The sequence below is a fragment of the Homo sapiens genome, chromosome 4, assembly GCF_000001405.40.
Source record: "Homo sapiens chromosome 4, GRCh38.p14 Primary Assembly".
NCBI classification, from domain to species: Eukaryota; Metazoa; Chordata; class Mammalia; order Primates; family Hominidae; genus Homo; species Homo sapiens.
Window position 1 is genome coordinate 39,192,727 of NC_000004.12, and position 19,170 is coordinate 39,211,896.

A 19,170-nucleotide genomic window follows, 5' to 3' on the forward strand; every position below is an offset into this window, starting at 1 on the left:
GCTAGGATTATAGGCGTGAGCCACCGTGCCCAGCCCATTAAATTGTAGCACAGTTCTAATTAAGAAAGTTCAGCTAGGTCTGTGGGGAGTCTTTGGGCAAAAGTTACCTGTCAAAGGAGTTCTGCCCAGGAATGGGCCCAGCAGTTATCCCTCCCTCACTCAGTCATTGTCTGGGAACAGCCCATGAGAAAGCACAGCCCAGCTCATTGAGGTGATGGATTCCAAAGCCTAGCAGCTGGGGCTCATGGGCAGTTACACTTTCTGCAAACGGAGGGAAATCTGAGAGGCACATTATTGCGGCTACAGCATTTATTTTAAAAAAGGAAAAAAAGATTAAAATGCGTATTTATCTTTTGTAAAATAGATACTTAATAGAAGAACCTAGCAGCCTGGTATGTTACTACTCCCTTACTTGCTAAATTTAATTTTTTTTCTTTTCTTTTTTTTTTTTTTGAGACAGAGTCTCACTGTGTCGCCCAGGTTGGAGTGCAGTGGCGCAATCTTGGCTCACTGCAACCTCCGCCTCCCGGGTTCAAGCGATTCTTCTGCCTAAGCCTCCTGAGTAGCTGGGACTACAGGTGCATGCCACCTCACCCAGCTAATTTTTGTATTTTTAGTAGAGACGGGTTCACCATAATGGCCAGGCTGGTCTCGAACTCCTGATCTTGTGATCTGTCCACCTCGGCCTCCCAAAGTGCTGGGGTTACAGGCGTGAGTCACCATGCCCAGCCTAAAATTAATTTTTTAACTAAGCATTTTATTATATGCTTCTATTATTACAACTAATTTTTCCACATACTTTAAATTATTTTTTCTCTTCCAAGTAACATCATGATTTTACGACCTTTCACAAACTCAACTTGTATCAAATAAGTATGTAATTTTTAATCCTCAAATTCTCCTAATTTAGCCAGAGGAAACCTCTTTAAACTTACTCTTTTGTCCTTTTATCACTGCCCTCAACATTCTTGGAAGCAGTGCTGCTTTCTGAAAACCATACCATGGTCTGTCAGCGGTGCTGAAAGTTTAGCTGCATCAGAATCCCCTGGAGGGCTTATGAAAACACAGGTAGCTGGGTGCCACTTTCAGAGTTGCTCGGTCAGTATGTCTGGGCTGGGATCTGAGAACTGGCATTTCTCACAAGTTCCCAGATGATGCTGCTGGTTCTGATTTCAAATTTTGAGAACCACTGTTCTTGACTCATTGTGATTTCTTTTCTCAATATATGGAAAGAGGTACTCTCCAAGAAGTTCTGCTTCCCCTTAGTAGGGAATTGTATAACACTTCAACCTCATGAATCGTAGAATGCATGTCAGAACTGGTGGTGGGCAAAAGTGTTTTCTACCTGCTTTTGAGCTACTCTTAATGGTGACGGAGCTGGAAAAGATATATCATTTTTAAAGTCATGAATTCCCAATGATTTTTACCATTTAATATGTTATTGGGTGCCACTTTTTTAAAGTATGAGGTTTCACCATCCATTAATATTTTTGTAATCACATTTAGAGCTAAAACTATCATTAATAGACAAATTAATAAATATCTCATCATAGGTCATCTCATGAATTTTGAGGTTCCATCATAACTGAAGTCTACATTCATTATACTTTTGTATTTTGAGTCTAACTGACCCTAAGATCATTCTGTAGCATCTCCAAAATATCTTTAGCATTTAGTCTTTGTCCTAAAGCATTAAGTTGTATTTTGTACTTTGGCTTCTAAGTAGATGTTAAAATTATCCAAGGAGTACTTTTTTAAAGGACTGTTTAGAGGTTATGATCGTGAATTGTTTAGTAATTTATATCTTAATGTTACAGGGATCAAATGTCTTTCCTTCTTTGGTCAAAAGTTGGAAGTTTCCTGGCTGTTGGAACTGTTAAAGGAAATTTGCTTATTTATAATCATCAGACATCTCGAAAGATTCCTGTCCTTGGTAGGTGATAGCTGGAAACACTGCTAAATATTTGAGATGCTCTACCTCAATGTAAATTCTGCCGCCTCAGGTTTCCCTGATCTTGCAATGGAAATTTTGCAGTACAAACCCCCTCCCCATGTCCCTCCGCAAGTCTTACATTTAGCTAAACATGAAGATCCCTGTTCACTGCTTACTAAGAACTTGCCAGGGTACATAGAATAGATTGAGTTAAAGTCAGGCTGTGCCTTTCGCATCAGGACATTAACAGCATGGCTTCCATTTGTCCTTTCCCACCCAGACTGTACCTCTGGACGAGGAATAGCTCATACACATATGAACACATTTTGATAATATGTGCTATTTTTGTTATTAATTTTAGTTAATTTAGTTGCATTATAATATGTGGTAATTTTAGTCCACATGGTAGATTAAAACATTTACTGCTTGAGTCCGTGGTGGCTCACGCCTGTAATCCCAGCACTTTGGGAGGCCAAGATGGGTGGATCACGAGGTCAGGAGTTCAAGACCAGCCTGGCCAAGATAGTGAAACCCCATCTCTACTAAAAATACAAAAAATTAGCCGGGCACAGTGGCAGCCGCCTGTAATCCCAGCTACTCGGGAGGCTGAGGCAGGAGAATCACTTGAACTCGGAGGGTGGATGTTGCAGTGAGCAGAGATCGCGCCACTGCACTGCAGCCTGGGTGACAGAGTGAGACTTCATCTCAAAAAAAAAAAACAAAAAAACAAACAAACAAAAAAAAACATTTACTGCTTGGATAGAAGCAAGATTTCTAATTCTGACCCCTCACCTTCTCCAAATCCTAGTTAAATCTAGATGTGGACTATGAGTTCCATTTGCCTCAGGATATGCAGCCAGAGGGTGTTTTTATGTCCCTCCTTGTTTGACCTTCTTGTTTTGGCTCTTTGATTCCCCCAACCTCTGGTCACTTGGCATCTGCCCTCTGAATAGCCAAGAAGAAACATCTATTCTTGTCAATTATTGTAACATCATTGTGATGAATGGTAGAACCTAGTGGGCTTAATTGCATCCAGGTGGCCAGGAAAAGTATAACTTACTGCTAATAAAGGAATTACACTCTGGAGATCATGGCACCCACAGATACTTGAGAAAGTGCCCTTCCATTCAAGACGATCATTTCAAATTAGTTTTACATATATGTATCTCTTTAATGTTAACATTAATTTTGGGTGCTATAGCTAAACATTAATGTCATTGAACTATTTGAAAAGTTAAACTAAATTTTTTTAAGTTACAAATATCAACTTTAAATTAGTTTGTCTATTAACTGTTATTATTGGTGTTAAGACTAACTTGATTTCTGAGCACTGGAAGCAAAAGGGCTTTGAGGTATATAAGGAGGAGGAGGAAGAAGAGATTTTCTTCTCCCTTTCTTGGGTATAGAAAGATGTCTTTGGCATCTTCCTACTTGTCATTGTATAGTCTTTTCCCCTTCCTAATGCCTGTTTCTTTGGACACCCAGTTCCATTTAACACCCAAGTCCCTTAATCTATGATCAGCAAAATCTCTGTAGCCCCAGTCTCTTCTCTGAATATTTCCTTCACTTTTGTGTTCTGGTCTCCTGATATGAAATACTGTCTATATCCTGAAAACTCCCAAATTTATATCTTTTCCACACTGTAGACTCATACCTCCAACGCTTACTCAACATCTTCAGTGAGGTGTCTAGTATACACTTCAAATTTAGTATCTCCAAAACCTTCTTGACTCACAGCTTTGCCTTCCACCATTGTTGGCATTCCATTCTTCCAAATTGTTAGGCCAATGTTTAGGGCCATCCTTGACTCTTTTCTTTCTCATACTCTCCATAACTAATTTGTCAGAAAATCTTACAGACTCAACCTCCAAATATCTCCAGAATCCAGCCGGTCTCACCATCTCTACTGCTGCCACCATGGTGTGGTCTCAGACATTTTCTACCTTAATTTCTGCAGTCTCCTCTTTACTGGCCTCTCCATTTCAACTCTTGCCCCACTCTAGAATCTTCTCAACCCAGAGGCCAGAATGAGCCCTCTGCTCAGAACTCTTCAATGGTTTCTGTCTCACCCAGGATAAAAGCAAAAGGCCTTAAAATGGCCAGAACAAATTTTCCATAATCTGGCCTTCGCAACCTCTCTGACCTCATCTCATGTTCTTCCCTCCTCATTTGTCTGCTCCAACCACATTGTCCTTGCTGAGCCTCTAACACACTAGGCAAACTCCTGCCTTGGGGTCTACTCACTTAAAGCATTCATTTAATACCTGCTTTCTGCATAGGTACTGTATTAGATTCTTTGAGGGTACGAAGAATAAAATGAATGTGGTCTCTGCTCTCAGTAACAGCTAAAATAGCTGACACTGTGATAGCATTTCATATGTACCTTGCACTTTGGTCAGTGCTTTAATTCAATTGATCCTCAACCCTATGAGAGGTCCTACTATTATTCCCAATTTATGGATGAAGTGAGTAAGGAATAGAAAGGTTGGCTGGGCATGGTGGCTCATCCCTGTAATTCCAGCATTTTGGAAGGCCGAGGCAGGCGGGTCACTTGAGGTCAGGAGTTCGAAACCAGCCAACATGGTGAAACCCCGTCTCTACAAAAAATACAAAAAAATTAACCAGGTGTGGTAGTGGGCTCCTGTAATCCCAGCTACTTGGGAGGCTGAGGCAGGAGAATTGCTTGAACCCAGGAGGCAGAAGCTGCAGTGAGCTGAGATTACACCACTGCACTCCAGCCTGGGAAACAGAGCAAGACTCTATCTCAAAAAAAAAAAAAAAAAAAAGAAAGAAAAAGAAAAGAAAAGGTTAAGTAACTTACGCAAGGTTTTTTCAGTAGGTAGTGGAGCTAAGATTCAAAGCTAGGCAGTCTGGCTCCAGAATCTATACACTTAACTATTCTTCTCATTAGTAGAATTACCCTTGGGACTCTTGAGGATTTATCTATCCCAAGACCTTCAGAAATACCCATAGTGTCAAGCATGTGATTTCCCTGAAAAAAAAAATATATAGTTTTTGCACTGACTGGAAAGCTCAATGAAAAAGCTTCCCAATAGTTAGTGGCTATCTGATGTTACTCATTAGCATAGTTACACAGTTCTTAACACAAGTCTTACTGAGGTGCATTCAAACAGGTACATCAGTATTATCATAAATTATTATATATCTTTTAGTTGTTACTGTTTTTGTTTTTCTGAGAGATAAGGTCTTGCTCTGTCACCCAGGCCAGAGTGCAGTGGTGGGATTACGGCGCACTGCAGCCTCAATCTCCCAGGCTCAAGGGATCCTCCCACCTCAGCTTCCCGAGTAGCTGGGACTACAGGTGTGTGCACCAGACTTGGCTAATTTTTTTTCTTTAATTTTTGTAGAGATGAAGTCTCACTATGTTGCCTAGGCTGGTCTTGAACTCCTGGGCTCATGCAATCCTCCCACCTCAGCTTCCCAAAGTGCTGGGATTATAGGCATGAGCCACTGTGCCTGGCCTCTTTTAGTTATACCTGAACAGTTAAACAGTGAATGTTAAATCTGCTTATGTCAAAGGTATACCACACCATGAAGCTGAATATAAGTAAAGTTAACTTCACTGCTCTGGAATTTACTTCTCTTAAGACATTAACGGCCGGGAGTGGTGGCTCACGCCTGTAATCCCAGCACTTTGGGAGGCCGAGGCGGGCGGATAACAAGGTCAGGAGATTGAGACTATCCTGGCTAACATGGTGAAACCCCATCTCTACTAAAAATACAAAAAAAAATTAGCCAGGCATGGTGGCGGACGCCTGTAGTCCCTGCTACTGGGGAGGCTGAGGCAGGAGAATGGCATGAACCCGGGAGGTGGAGCTTGCAGTGAGCCAAGATCGCGCCGCTGCACTCCAGCCTGGGCGACAGAGCGAGACTCCGTCTCAAAAAAAAAGACATTAACTTTGGAGCCAGGCACGGTGACTCGCGCCTGTAATCCCAGCACTCTGGGAGGCCAAGACAGGTGCATCGCTTGAGCTCAGGAGTTGGAGACCAACTTGAGCAACAAAGTGAAACCACATCTCTACAAAAAATACAAAAATGGCCAGGTGCGGTGGCTCACGCCTGTAATCCCACCACTTTGGGAGGCCAAGGCAGGTGGATCACCTGAGGTCAGGAGTTCAAGACCAGCCTGGCCAACATGGTGAAACCCTGTCTCTACTAAAAATATAAAAATTAGTTGGGTGTGGTGGCTCGCCTGTAGTCCCAGCTACTTGGGAGGCTGAGGCGGAAGAATTGCTTGAACCTGGGAGGCAAAGGTTGCAATGAGCCAAGATCACGCCACTGTACTCCAGCCTGGGCAAGAGAGTGAGACTCTGTCTCAAAAAAAAAAAAAAAAAGAATTAGCTGGGTGTGGTGGCATGTGCCTATAGTCCCAGCTACTTGGGACCTGAGTTGGGAGGATGGCTTGAGCCTGGGAAGCAGAGGTTGCAGTGAGCTGAGATCACACCACTGCACTCTAGCCTGGATGACAGAGCCAGAATCTGTCTCAAAAAAGAAAAAAAGACATTATCTTTGCAGGTTTGGTTATATGATAAACGAAGAAATCTTGTCAAGGAGCAGAATATCTTTTTACATTAGGGCTTATATCCAGATAAAAATTTGGAAAACAGTAATGCCTTTATATGCCATTATTTTATACCTTGGTAATAAACTGTTTTAAATAAGGTTGCGTAGACATTAACTGCTTTGATGAAATTCTAAATTCTTGTCTGTTTAATTTCTTGCTATATTCAGATTGGCATCACAGATTTTTTTCTTTGAGAAATCCACATGTCTGTATAAAAATAATCTCTTTTTCAGGAAAACATACTAAGAGAATCACTTGTGGATGTTGGAATGCAGAAAATCTGCTTGCTTTAGGTGGTGAAGATAAAATGATTACAGTTAGTAATCAGGAAGGTGACACGATAAGACAGGTAATACAGTAACGTCTCTTTGGTCTGATATATTCAAGCTTTCCCCCCAAATAAATAGTTTGTCTGTCAAACTAATCTATACAATTTTTAAAAATCTATATGTGAGGTATATATGTGTGTGTGTGTATACACAATAACTTCAAAAACCTTTCTATTTATTGTCAGAACATTTTTCTTTGATATGAATATGTTATCCAAATATCCTCCTTTGTATATTTCCCTTCCGTATTAACATGGATTATCAGCTCTGTGGTTCTAGTCAGACAGTGTATTTGTGAAATAACTCTTATTTTATATATGTGTATTTATAATACAAATGTTAATAACTGGTAGATCTTGAACTCAGAGTCAAATCTGCCTAATTCTAAAGCTCATACCTTTAACTGATAAATTGCTTCTAAACTAATCCTAATGGAATTTAATTTTAAGATTAAATGTTTCTACTATTCACATTTCTCAAGATTGATTAGCTCTTTCAGAGGCTCCCTCCTTATGGGAATTTGTATCGCCAGTAGCTACATAATGTGGCCAATGGGAAAATTTCACTTTGGACTACTGCTTATGATTTAGTATTGCTAGAGCAATATTGACTAACACATTCTTTGAATACCTGCTAGGCACATGGCACTGTGCTATATACTATAGAAAGAATATGAAATATGGCTCTGTATTAGCCAATCTATTGCTGCATAACAAATTAACCATTAATCAAAATGTAGAAGCTTAAAACAACACTTACTATTTCATGGTTTTGTGGATGAGGAATTTAGATGCAGCTTATCTGGGTGTCTCTGCCTTAAAGTCTCTACAAGCCTGCAATCGTGTTGTCAGACAGGGCTGCAGTTTCATGTGAAGGCTCAATAGGGAGAAAAATCTGCCTCCAAGCTCACTTACATGGGTGTTGACAGGGTTCAGTTCCTTACAGATTGTTATATTCAGGGCTTCAGTTTCTCTCTAGCTATTCACTGGAAGCCTTCCTCACTTCCTTGCCACATGGATCTCTCCATAGAGTGCCTCACAACACAGCAGCTGGTGAGAGAGTGAGAGCAGCCATTCAAGACTGAAGCTGCATCTCTTTATAACCTAATCACAGAATCACTTTTGCCATATTTTGTTCTTTAGAAGTGAACTACAAGGTATAGCCCACAAAAAGTAGGGCAGGGATGGGGACCACACAGGCATAAAACCAGAAAGTGGGGATCATTGTGGGCCATCTTACAGGCTGCTGATCGTAGGGCCCCACTCTTAAGAAGACATTAGTAATATTATAAAACACACATGGCCTTATTGATTAATTGCCATATTTTGTGGTACAAATTACCTGTCCTATAACATTTGGGAGATAGAGGAGATCAATGAAAGTTTGATTGTGAGTCTCTCAAAGATAGAAGGCTATCTGAATCAGTCAGGGTATAGACTAAACTGTTGGGTCAGAGAGTCCTAAAACTTCAGGGGCCGGAAGAATATGATAGTATGGGTTGGGGTCGGGGGTTTCCTCTCTCTTTTTCTCATGTAACAGAGAGACAAAGTCACCTACGTACCTCTGCTTCACTAAATTGTACCGAGTCTCAGGTTCCTTCCATCTTATTGCTCTGCCATTTTCTAGAGTATTGTACCCTCATCTGCATGATTGAAGCTAGTGTACCAGGATCACATCTGCATTTCAGCTCCAGGGAAAGGACAAAGAGAAGAAATAGAGTGTAAGAAATTTGTAAAGGACTTGATCTGCAAGATGCATTTATTATTTCCCTTCATATCATATGACTAGAACCTAGTCATGTGGCCAAATCTACCTGCTCCCAGGAAAGCTGCAATTTTAGTCCAGCTAGATGACTATGTACCTTGCTAAAACTTATTTTAGTAGATAGTGCAAAACATTTACTCATTCAGTACAAGCAGAACAGCAAGGAAAAACTACAGCTTGTTCCTGAGTTGTTCAAGCCTGGACTAACTGAAGATAGAGGTTTTGATTGGGCATTTTTAGAAAATAGGGCTGAAGAAGAAAGTCGATTCCTGTATCTGTTTTAATCATTCTATTTTCAATGCCCTTTAGAAATAGAATGGTAAATATGGTATAAATGCTACAGCTCCCCTCTCTTGTGTCCATATCAGACATTACCAATAGATAGTGGATTTTTTTTCCCTCCACTGAATAAAAATATGGCCTTAGAATATTTTTTCCGTATAGCATTCCAGGAAGTCACTACAATTCAGCCATTATTTACATATAAGATAACTGTTTTTCATTTCTAATCCTTAAGAAGTCTGCTTCCAAAATTAGACATACTACTTAAGCTGTCATGTAGTAAGCAAAATATACATTATAAGTGTTGCTTTGTTTTGTGTTTTTTCTTAATTGTTTTAACTTTGGCATTCTGAAGATCACTATGGTGTTACTTGTATGGATTTATTTTTATTTATCCTGCTCAGGATTTGTCTTGCTTCCTGAATCTGAAGATTGTTATCCTTTGTCAATTCAGGAAAATTCATAGTCATTATCTCTTTGAATATTACTTCTTGCCCTTTCTATTCTGTTTTTCAGGAGCGTCTGTTAGATAGCTGTTGGACCTTCTTATGTCTCTTAATCTCTCCTCTTCATAGTTTTATCTTTTTATCACTCTGCAACCTTTTGGATGATTTCCTCATATTAGTTCACATATTCTTTCTTCAAATTTGTCTAATCATCTGTGTATACATTGAGTTTTTTTATTTTAATGACGCCTCGTTTTTAGAAAGTACTTTGTAGTTCTTTTAAAAATCCACTTGAAATACATGAATAGACAGTTCACACAAAAATGTATAAAAAATGGCTCTCATACATATGAAAAAAATTTCAAAGTTACTCATAATTAAATAACTACAAATTAAAGCCACACTGAAATACCATTTTTCACCTATCAGGGTGGCAAAATTATATAAAATATGACAACATATTCTGTTGGTGAAACTGTAGATAAAATTAGTATGTCCCTTCTGGAGGAAAATTTGGAAATAGCTAACAAAACTACATCTGTATGTACTTTTTGACCTAACAATACCATTTCTAGGGTTCTACCCTTCAGATACACCTCCTATAATACAAAAGTACATATGCACTTAAAAAAAAAACTGCCTGAACTTAAAAAATTCTTTTCTCATATTTATGAGTTCTTTTACAGCTTTAGTCATTTTTAAAATATTTATTTTATAATTTCTCTCTCTGATAATTCTATTATTTTTATATCTGCTAACTCCTTCTCTTGATGCATTGTTTCTTTACGAGTTTTGTAATTTTGAATTATGAGCTCATCTTTAGCAAAGTTTATGTGTGGAAATTTTTTAAAACCTTGGTAGAGGTTCTGGGTTAGTTTTTTCCAAAACTGCAGGGATAGTATGAGCCTGGATCCTTCCATATTTTATGTTAATTTCTCATCTTGGGAGCTACCAAATGACCTAACATACACATTTGAACCTCAGACTATAATGAGAATAGGAAGGGAGGTCTTTAATTAAATCCTTTTTCCTTTTTCTTTTTCTTTCTTTTTTTTTTTTTTTTTGAGACAGGGTCTTGCTCTGAAGTGCAGTGGCATGATCATAGCTCACTGCAGCCTCAAGCTCCTGGGCTCAAGCGATCCTCCCACCTCAGCCTCCCAAAGTACTGAGATTACAGATATGAGCCACCGCACCCATCCTTTAATTAAATTATTGAAATGAACTTTGTTTTGTCTGACTCAACACTCAAGCCAAAACAAATGGATTTCCTTATTGTCTCCCATAGCTAGCTGCTCTGGATAGCTGCAGCATCAGTTTCTGCACACACTCTGGTTTTAGTGTGATCTTTGCTGATGGTCCCTGTAAATTTCCCTTTTCTTCTTTCAAGCTTATTTATCTATTTAATAAGATATATTTTCTGTTTCATCTAGAATTTCTAGATATTTGTGACAGTAGGATTTTCAGGTTCTTAGTCCAACATTAGTCAGGAATGAAAACAAGTTATCCATTCTATTAATATTCAGAATGAATTTAAATATTGGGTTTGTTCATAGTGATGATGTTTTTACTCCTTTAGACACAAGTGAGATCAGAGCCTAGCAACATGCAGTTTTTCTTGATGAAGATGGATGACCGAACCTCTGCTGCTGAAAGCATGGTAAGAATTCTAATCAAATCCACGTGCAAATCATTTGGGTAATTTTGTGGAATGTATAATTTACTTTTCTTGGATGACTAAAATAGTGATAAATAAATTAGGTCCATTGACTGTATTTTAAGCCAAGGTAGAGCTAGGTCTTTTAGTCCCTAAAAGTTGTTGTAATTGCTACTGACTACCTGGCATTACAGCAAATGAGGACAGCTTTCTGTTACAATTGGTATTGCTCTTTTCATTCTTGTGATAGCAAAAACATTAGGGGTACCTTGCAGAACAGAAGTATTAATTCATATATTATTTTTAAAATTTTTACTCTATGAGATGTGGTTAGCAGACCTCTTGAAGTTGTAGGCTTGTTTTTTTTTGTTTGTTTTTTTTTTGAGACAGAGTTTTGCTCTTTTTATCCAGGCTGGAGTGCAGTGGTGCAATCTCAGCTCACCGCAACCTCCACCTCCTAGGTTCAAGCGATTCTCCTGCCTCAGCCTCCCTAGTAGCTGTGATTACAGGCATGCGCCACGACACCCAGCTAATTTTGTATTTTTAGTAGAGATGGGGTTTCTCCATGTTGGTCAGGCTGGTCTCAAACTCCCGATCTCAGGTGATCCACCTCCCTCGGCCTCCCAAAGTGCTGGGATTACAGGCGTGAGCCACCGCACCCGGCCAAAGTTGTAGCTTTTGGTTAATACTTAGATGCATCTTCCCTGCCACATCTTAACATTCTGAAATCAGTATGATTTTCACAATCAATATGAATATATTTAATAAAGTAGTAGTTCTTTGTTTCCTAAAAACCTATTAAATTGATAGTGACTTACAATTGAGAGCATCTTATAATTAAGGAAATACATGATAATGAGCCCAAATAAGTAATGTACTTTTTTCTCCCCAACATAATTACATCCTCCACTGGGAATTACACTTAAGAATTTACTTGCATGAGTAGCAAAGAGACACTAGTTTAGCCAACACTGACCTGCAGGTGATGGAACCAATGATGATATAAAAGCCAAGCTGGAGTATCCACAGGAGTGTGGACCTATAATCCCAAATGGCTCAAGAGCAGAACAGCCTCTTAGAGTGGAAGAGTCTTTATAATCTAAATATGAATTCATTTGCAGTGGAACTGTCAGACTTACAATCCTGTAGTGTGCAGTACTCTAATGAAAGGTATAGAAAATTTAAATGGACACTCCACAAAGGAATTGTAGTATATTTCAAAGGGTATATTGAAGATGTGTAAAACCAAGGACGCTTACCAGTTTATATATTAGTAAATACATTTTTAGTCATATTGTACTAGTTACAGCATTTAGCACATCTAAATTGGGCTTATTATTTTCACAAATTAGGTTCAGCTGTTGGATTTGCTTAATGGTCTTTTCATGAAGTACTAAGTAACTCATTTCACAATCTCCTAATCTTTTCTGGCAGATAAGTGTGGTGCTTGGCAAGAAAACTTTGTTTTTTTTAAATCTGAATGAACCAGATAACCCAGCTGATCTTGAATTTCAGCAGGACTTTGGCAACATTGTCTGCTATAATTGGTATGTCTGCTATAACTGGTATGTACAAAAAGCTCATTACAGAAGGACATCTGTAGGTTTTTCCTTACTAATTGTATTCAATTTTTGTTTGTAACATTCAATTCTATACGTCACATTTTCTGATTCATGGTCTGTGATTTAGTATGCAAAACTACCTAGTATATTATCTGACACAAAGTAGGCCCTTGATAAATTATATTCTATAATTCCTTAATTTTAAGGTACTTGCTAATTTACCATGTTGCCACTGATAGCTAATCTCCTTGTTTACCATATTGTTGCCTTCTTTGCTATAGGTATGGTGATGGCCGCATCATGATTGGTTTTTCATGTGGACATTTTGTGGTCATTTCTACTCATACTGGAGAGCTTGGTCAAGAGATATTTCAGGCTCGTAACCATAAAGATAATCTAACCAGCATTGCAGTATCACAGACTCTTAACAAAGTTGCTACATGTGGAGATAACTGGTAAGTTATTTTCACATATTTTTAGGAAAGCTTATATAGTAAATACTTAAGTGAATCAGCCAAACTTTGTTAGCTAATATGAATCTGGCAATCATGTTTACAATTTAAAACGTCTAAGACTACTTTGCTCCTGATTTTAATATTCAGGGCAAAAATATAAAACAAAGTATAGTTGAAAATCAATCTTAAAAATAAAATAGGTAGTTCTGGGTAACATGGAGTAAGCACACTCCACCCCATGTCTCCCACTGAGTACAGCTATAAAACGTGAACAGAATGCATGGAGCAGATATTTAAGGACTCTGAAAAGTAAATGGTAGCAGGCAGATTGGAAAAGAAGACGGAATTTGAAGTGCCAACTAACCAGTGGGGAGTCTCCCACTTGTCCTCTGCTGTCTCACAGCCAGGACTCAAGGAAGTCTGAAACCTAGAAGTAGGCACCAAAGCACAGAGAGAGCTTTAAGGAAACTCTCTGGTTCTGGCTTAAGTTGCAGGAAAGAGAACTTATAATGCTCAAAGGCAGTTGGGGAAATCCCCTGGTTTTCTTTTTCTTTTTTTGTTCTTTGTTCTCTAATGCTCCAGCCACCAAGCAGTCTCCCCATGGCAGTGGCAACAAGAACAGTGGCACCAAGGACCCACAGGCACCTAAAACTCTGATGGAGGATAATCTTCTCTCCAATTAGAGGCTGTGGCTTCAAGAAGATAGGGCAAACCACTATTGCCTATTTTTCTCTCTGTCCTCCCTTGGTCACAAGTGCTCATACAGTGTGGGAATTATGTGGTAGAACAGAGTAACTAGAGATCAAGCATTAATAGAGGACCAAAATTAGGAGACCTAGGGATTGGAAAGTACTAGATTGATCATAGGGAGGAAGGAACTCAGGAAAGCAACCCTGTAAAGATATTTATGAACTCCTGGGTTCATCCTTAAGCGCATATGTATAGACTTATCCTAAACATATACCAAAGACCCTGTGAACTGAACTGAGACATAGATCATAGCCAAGGTCTTATACTAGCCACTGAGTGGGCCATAGAGGGACATATCTGAATACCACTGCAAAGGCGTTGAAAATAGAACTGACATTGAAACCGTCAGCTACAGAAGGCTCCTTGAAACTTGTGGCCTGAACCCAGCCAGGTTGATGGCCTGCTGAAACAAAAATATTAACCTTCTCCATGGGATTTAGATTAGACACAATCTCATAATTTCACAAGGTCCAGAATAGAACCCCAAATTACTTGACATATGAAGAATTAGGAGAATTTTAACTCGCTCAGGAAATAACAATAAAAAAACACCAATGCCAAGATTATGCAGATAGCAGATATAGAAATGCTCCAAGAGGTAAGGGCTAATGCTCTTGAAACAAATGGAAAACTAGAAAGTCTCAGAAAAGAAATAGAACCAATAAAGAAGAACCAAATGGAAATTTTAGAACTATAAAATGCAATAAATTTGATAGACTTAGTAGCAAATGGAGAAAATAAAGAGTCAGTGAACTTGAAGAGAGATCATTAGAAAATATCCAATCTGAACATGGAAGAAAAAAATGAAACAAAATTATTTGTCCCAGAGACCTATTAGACAGTAACAAAAGGTCTAGTATTTGTGTCTTCGGAATCCCAAAAATAATGGCTGGAAACTTTATGGCAAAAGACATAAACGTGCATATTGTAGAAGCTCAGCAAGTCCCCAAAAGGATAAACCAGAAGAAATCTAGAGCTATTCACATCATAATCAAACTGTTGAAAAATAAAGACAAAGAAAAAATCTTGAAAGCAGCCAGAGAGCAACATTTTGAATGACAGTGGATTTTCTCACCGTAAAGCATTGAGGCTAGAAGGAAATGCCACAATATTCTTAAAGTGCTAAAATAAAAGCATTGTCAACTGAAATTCTTTATCCGGTGACAATGTATGTCAGTAAATGAAAGTGAAATAAAAGCATTTTTAGATGAAGGAAAATGAAGAGACTATCTTGCTCTCTAAAAGAACTGCTGAAGGAAGTTCTTCAGATAGAAGAGAACTGAGAACAGAAGGAAATTTGGGACATTAAGAATGAAGGAAGAGCAACAGAAATGGTAAATATCCGGGTAAATATAATAGACATTTTTCTTTTGAGATCTTTAACGTATATGTGATGGTTTAAAAAAAAAATTATAATATTGCTCAGTAGGGTGTTTAATGCATGAAAATGCAATATATAAGACAACTATACTATAAAGGGGAGAGAGGGTAAAAGTTTTTGTATGCGATAAGACTTCTACATTCCACTTGAAATGGCAAAATATTGATTCTAAGTAGACTATGAAAACTTAAATATGTATATTATAATCTAGAGCAACCTCTAAGAAAACTATTCAAAGAAATATACAAAAGCACAATAGATAAATTAAAATGGAATACTAAAAAATGTTCAAATCTAAACAAAGGAAAGAAACAGGAATAAAAACAAATAAAAGAGAGAACAAATAGAAAGCAAATAATAAAGCAGTAGACTTCAATTCAAACATGTCAGCCCATTAAATGTAAGTGAAAAACTTATTAGACATAGACTGAGTGGATTTTTTTTTTTTTTTTTTTTTGAGACAGAGTCTCACTCTGTTGCCCAGGCTGGAGTGCAGTGGCATGATCTTGGCTCACTGCAACCTCCGCCTCCCAAGTTCAAGTGATTCTCCTACCTCAGCCTCCCAAGTAGCTGGGATTACAGGTGTGCACCACCATGCCTGGCTAATTTTTGTATTTTTAGTAGAGACGGGGTTGTACCATGTTGGCAGGCTGGTTTCGAACTGACCTCAAGTGATCCACCCGCCTTAGCCTCCCAAAATGGTGGGATTACAGGTGTGAGCCACCACGCCCAGCCTAGAATGTATTTTTAATGACCCTATTAAAAGGGTCATTGTAAGAAATTCACTTCAAATATAATGATATAACCATGTAAAAGGATAGAAAAAGACCATACAAATGCTAACCAGAAGATAGCTACTCTAGCCATCATTTACATTGATATGTTTGAACTTGGCACAGCATTTAACCTTGTATTAGGTACTGTAAGTGACCTAAAGATGACTGAAAGTATATGGGAGGATGTGTATAGGTTATATGCAAATACAACATCATTTATATAATGGACTTGAGCATCTGTGGATTTTGGTATCCACAGAGGGATCCTGGAACCCAATCCTCTTGGGATACTGAGGGACAACTGTAATGTATAGAACCAACTACGCAGAAGGTCAACAAGGATATAAAAGACTAGGTCAGCACTATAAACCAACTAAACCTAATAGAACACTGCACCCAGCAGCAACAAAATTCACATTTTTTTCAAGTGCCTGTGGAACATTCACCACAATAGACTACCCTGGCTCATGAAACAAACTTCAGCAAATTTAAATTGAATCATATAAAATATGTTCTCTGACCATAATGGAATCAAACTAGAAGTCAGTAACAGCAGGAAAACCTGCAAACACTTGGAAATTAAACAACATATTTCTAAATAATTCATGGGTCCTAGAGCCCCAAAGCAATTAAAAAATACATAGAACTGAATGAAAATGAAAATATATCAAAATACGTGGGAGGCAGCTAAAGCAGCCTAGAAGAAAATTTATAGCACTAAATGTTTACATTAGGGGGAAAAAGGGCCTCAAATCAGTAATCTAAGTTTCTACCTCAAGACACTGAAAAAAGGAGCAAGATAAACATAAAGCAAAAGGAAGAATATAATAAAAAGAAAATTGTGAAATGGAAAATGAGAAAATTTTAAATATCAGCCTGACCAACATGGAGAAACCCTGTCTCTACTAAAAATACAAAACTAGCCGGGCATGGTGGTGCATGCCTATAATCCCAGCTACTCGGGAGGCTGAGGCAGGAGAATCGCTTGAACCCAGGAGGCAGAGGTTGCTGTGAGCCAAGTTCGCACCATTGCACTCCAGCCTCAGTGACAGAGCGAGACTCTGTCTCAAAAAAAAAAAAAAAAAATCAATTAAACAAGAAGCTGGTTCTTTGAAGAAAATAAAATTGATACGCTTCTAACAAGCCTGACAAAAATAAGAGAATAGACACAACAAATCACCAATATCAAGAATGAAACAGGAGTATCCATCTGAAAGCCATTATGAGAATAATAAAGGAATACTACAAACAATTTTACACTCAAAATTTGACAACCTAGAAGAAATGGGACAATTCTTTGAAAACTGCAAACTACCAAAACTCAACCCAAATGAAAACAGATCATCTGGATTAGCCCTATAACTACAATAAAATGGAATTAGTGATTTAAATGCTCCCAAAAAATAAATCTCAAGGCCTGTATGGTTTCATTGAAGAATTCTGCCAAACACTTGAGAAAGGATTAATACCAATTTTTTAAAAATCTCTTCTAGAAAATAAAGAGTAGAGAACACTTCAACTTATTTTATAAGGCTAGTATTACCTTTATACCAAGACCAAACAAAGACAGTGTATTAAAAAAGAAAAAGTACAGGTCAATATCTCTCATAAACTTGAGCATGAAAATTCTCAACAAAATTTAACAAACTGAATGTAGCAATGTATAAAAAGAATTATACTTCATGACCAAGTGTGATTTATTTCAGATACTGAAAATATCAAATGGTTCAATATTTAAAAATCAGTGTAATCTATGTCAGGTGCAGTGGCACATGGCTGCTGTAATCCCAGCGCTTTGGGAGGCTGAGCCAGGAGGATCACCTGAAGCTAGGAGTTCGAGACCAGCCTGGGCAATATAGCGAGACCCCATCTCTAAAACAAAATAGCCAGGCATGGCGGCATGTGCCTGTATTCCTAGCTACTCAGGAAGCTGAGGTGGGAGGATTGCTGAGCCAAGGAGTTTGAGGTTGCAGTGAGCTGCAGTTGCATCACTGCACCCTAGCCTGAGCAACAGAGCAAGACCCTGTCTCAAAAAGAAAACAAAAAAAATGTAATCATTCTATCAGAAGCTAAAAAAGACAAACCGTATATATAATCACATCAATTGACACAGAAAAAGCATTGCACAAAGTCCAGCACACCTTCATGATAAAAACTCTCAGCAAGTTAGGAATAGCAGGTAATTACCTCAATTTGATAAAGAACAATATAGGCCAGGCACAGTGGCTCACACCTGTAATCCCAGCACCTTGGGAGGCCAAGGCGGGAGAATCACTTGAGCCCAAGAGTTCAAGACCAGCCTGGGCAATATGGCGAGACCCCATCTCTACAAGTTACCTGTAGTCCAAGCAACTTGGGAGGCTGAGGTGGGAGAATCACTTGAGCCTGGGAGGTTGAGGCTGCAGTGAGCTGTGGTCATTTCCTGTAGTCCCAGCAACTTGGGAGGCTGAGGTGGGAGGATCACTTGAGCCTGGGAGGTTGAGGCTGCAGTGAGCTGTGATCGTGCCACTGCACCCCAGCCTGGGCAAAAGAGTGAAACCCTGTCTCAAAAAAAAAAGAACAACTACAAAAAACCTACATCTAATATCATGCTTAATGGTGAAAGACGGAATGCTCGTCCCTTAAGATTAGGAACAAGACAAGAATATCTGCTCTCATTACTCTTACTCAACCTAGCATTAGAAGTTCCAGCCACTGCAATAGGCAAGAAAAAGAAATACACGGCACTCAGATTAGAAAGGAAGAAGGAAAACTATCTCTATTTGCAGATGTCATGATCATCTTGGGATTTTCTACATAAAAATCTTGGAATTTTCTGCATAAAAGCAACTCCTGGAACTAAAACTAATAAATGAGTTTTAGTTTATTTTTCTGCAAAAAAGCAACTCCTAGAACTAAAACTAATAAATGAGTTGAGCAAGATTGTAGGATATAAGATCAACACACAAAAATTAATCACATTTCTATATACTAACAATGAACATTAACAATGAAAACAAAAATGAAAACCAATACCATTTTCAGTCACTCCAAAGAAACTGAACTGCTTAAGTATACCTCTAACAAAACCTGTACAGTGTCTTTGCTGAAAATTATAAAATGCTGATGAAAGAGATCAAATTAGACCCAAATAAATAGAGAGATATACTGTGTTCATAGATTGAAAAGCTCAACAAAGTGAAGATATCAGTTCCCCCAGGTTGATCTATTGTTTAATGAAATTTATATCAAAATCCCAGCATGCTTCTTTGTA

General features: G+C 38.4%; 1 protein-coding gene across 10 annotated transcripts in view; it reads left to right on the plus strand.

Moving 5' to 3' along the window:
- WDR19 (WD repeat domain 19) overlaps positions 1-19,170 on the plus strand; it is a 103,282-nt gene that overhangs the window by 10,198 nt on the left and 73,914 nt on the right. For 8 of the 10 annotated variants that reach the window (XM_011513724.2, NM_025132.4, XM_011513725.3 and 5 more), the window contains 5 exons: positions 1,818-1,933; positions 6,752-6,867; positions 10,916-10,996; positions 12,428-12,540; positions 12,837-13,010. In XM_011513724.2, coding sequence (XP_011512026.1) covers positions 1,818-1,933; positions 6,752-6,867; positions 10,916-10,996; positions 12,428-12,540; positions 12,837-13,010 — 600 coding nt within the window. The remainder of the gene's footprint in view (positions 1-1,817; positions 1,934-6,751; positions 6,868-10,915; positions 10,997-12,427; positions 12,541-12,836; positions 13,011-19,170) is intronic. The other 2 variants (NM_001317924.2, XM_047416033.1) reach the window with 1 other exon arrangement.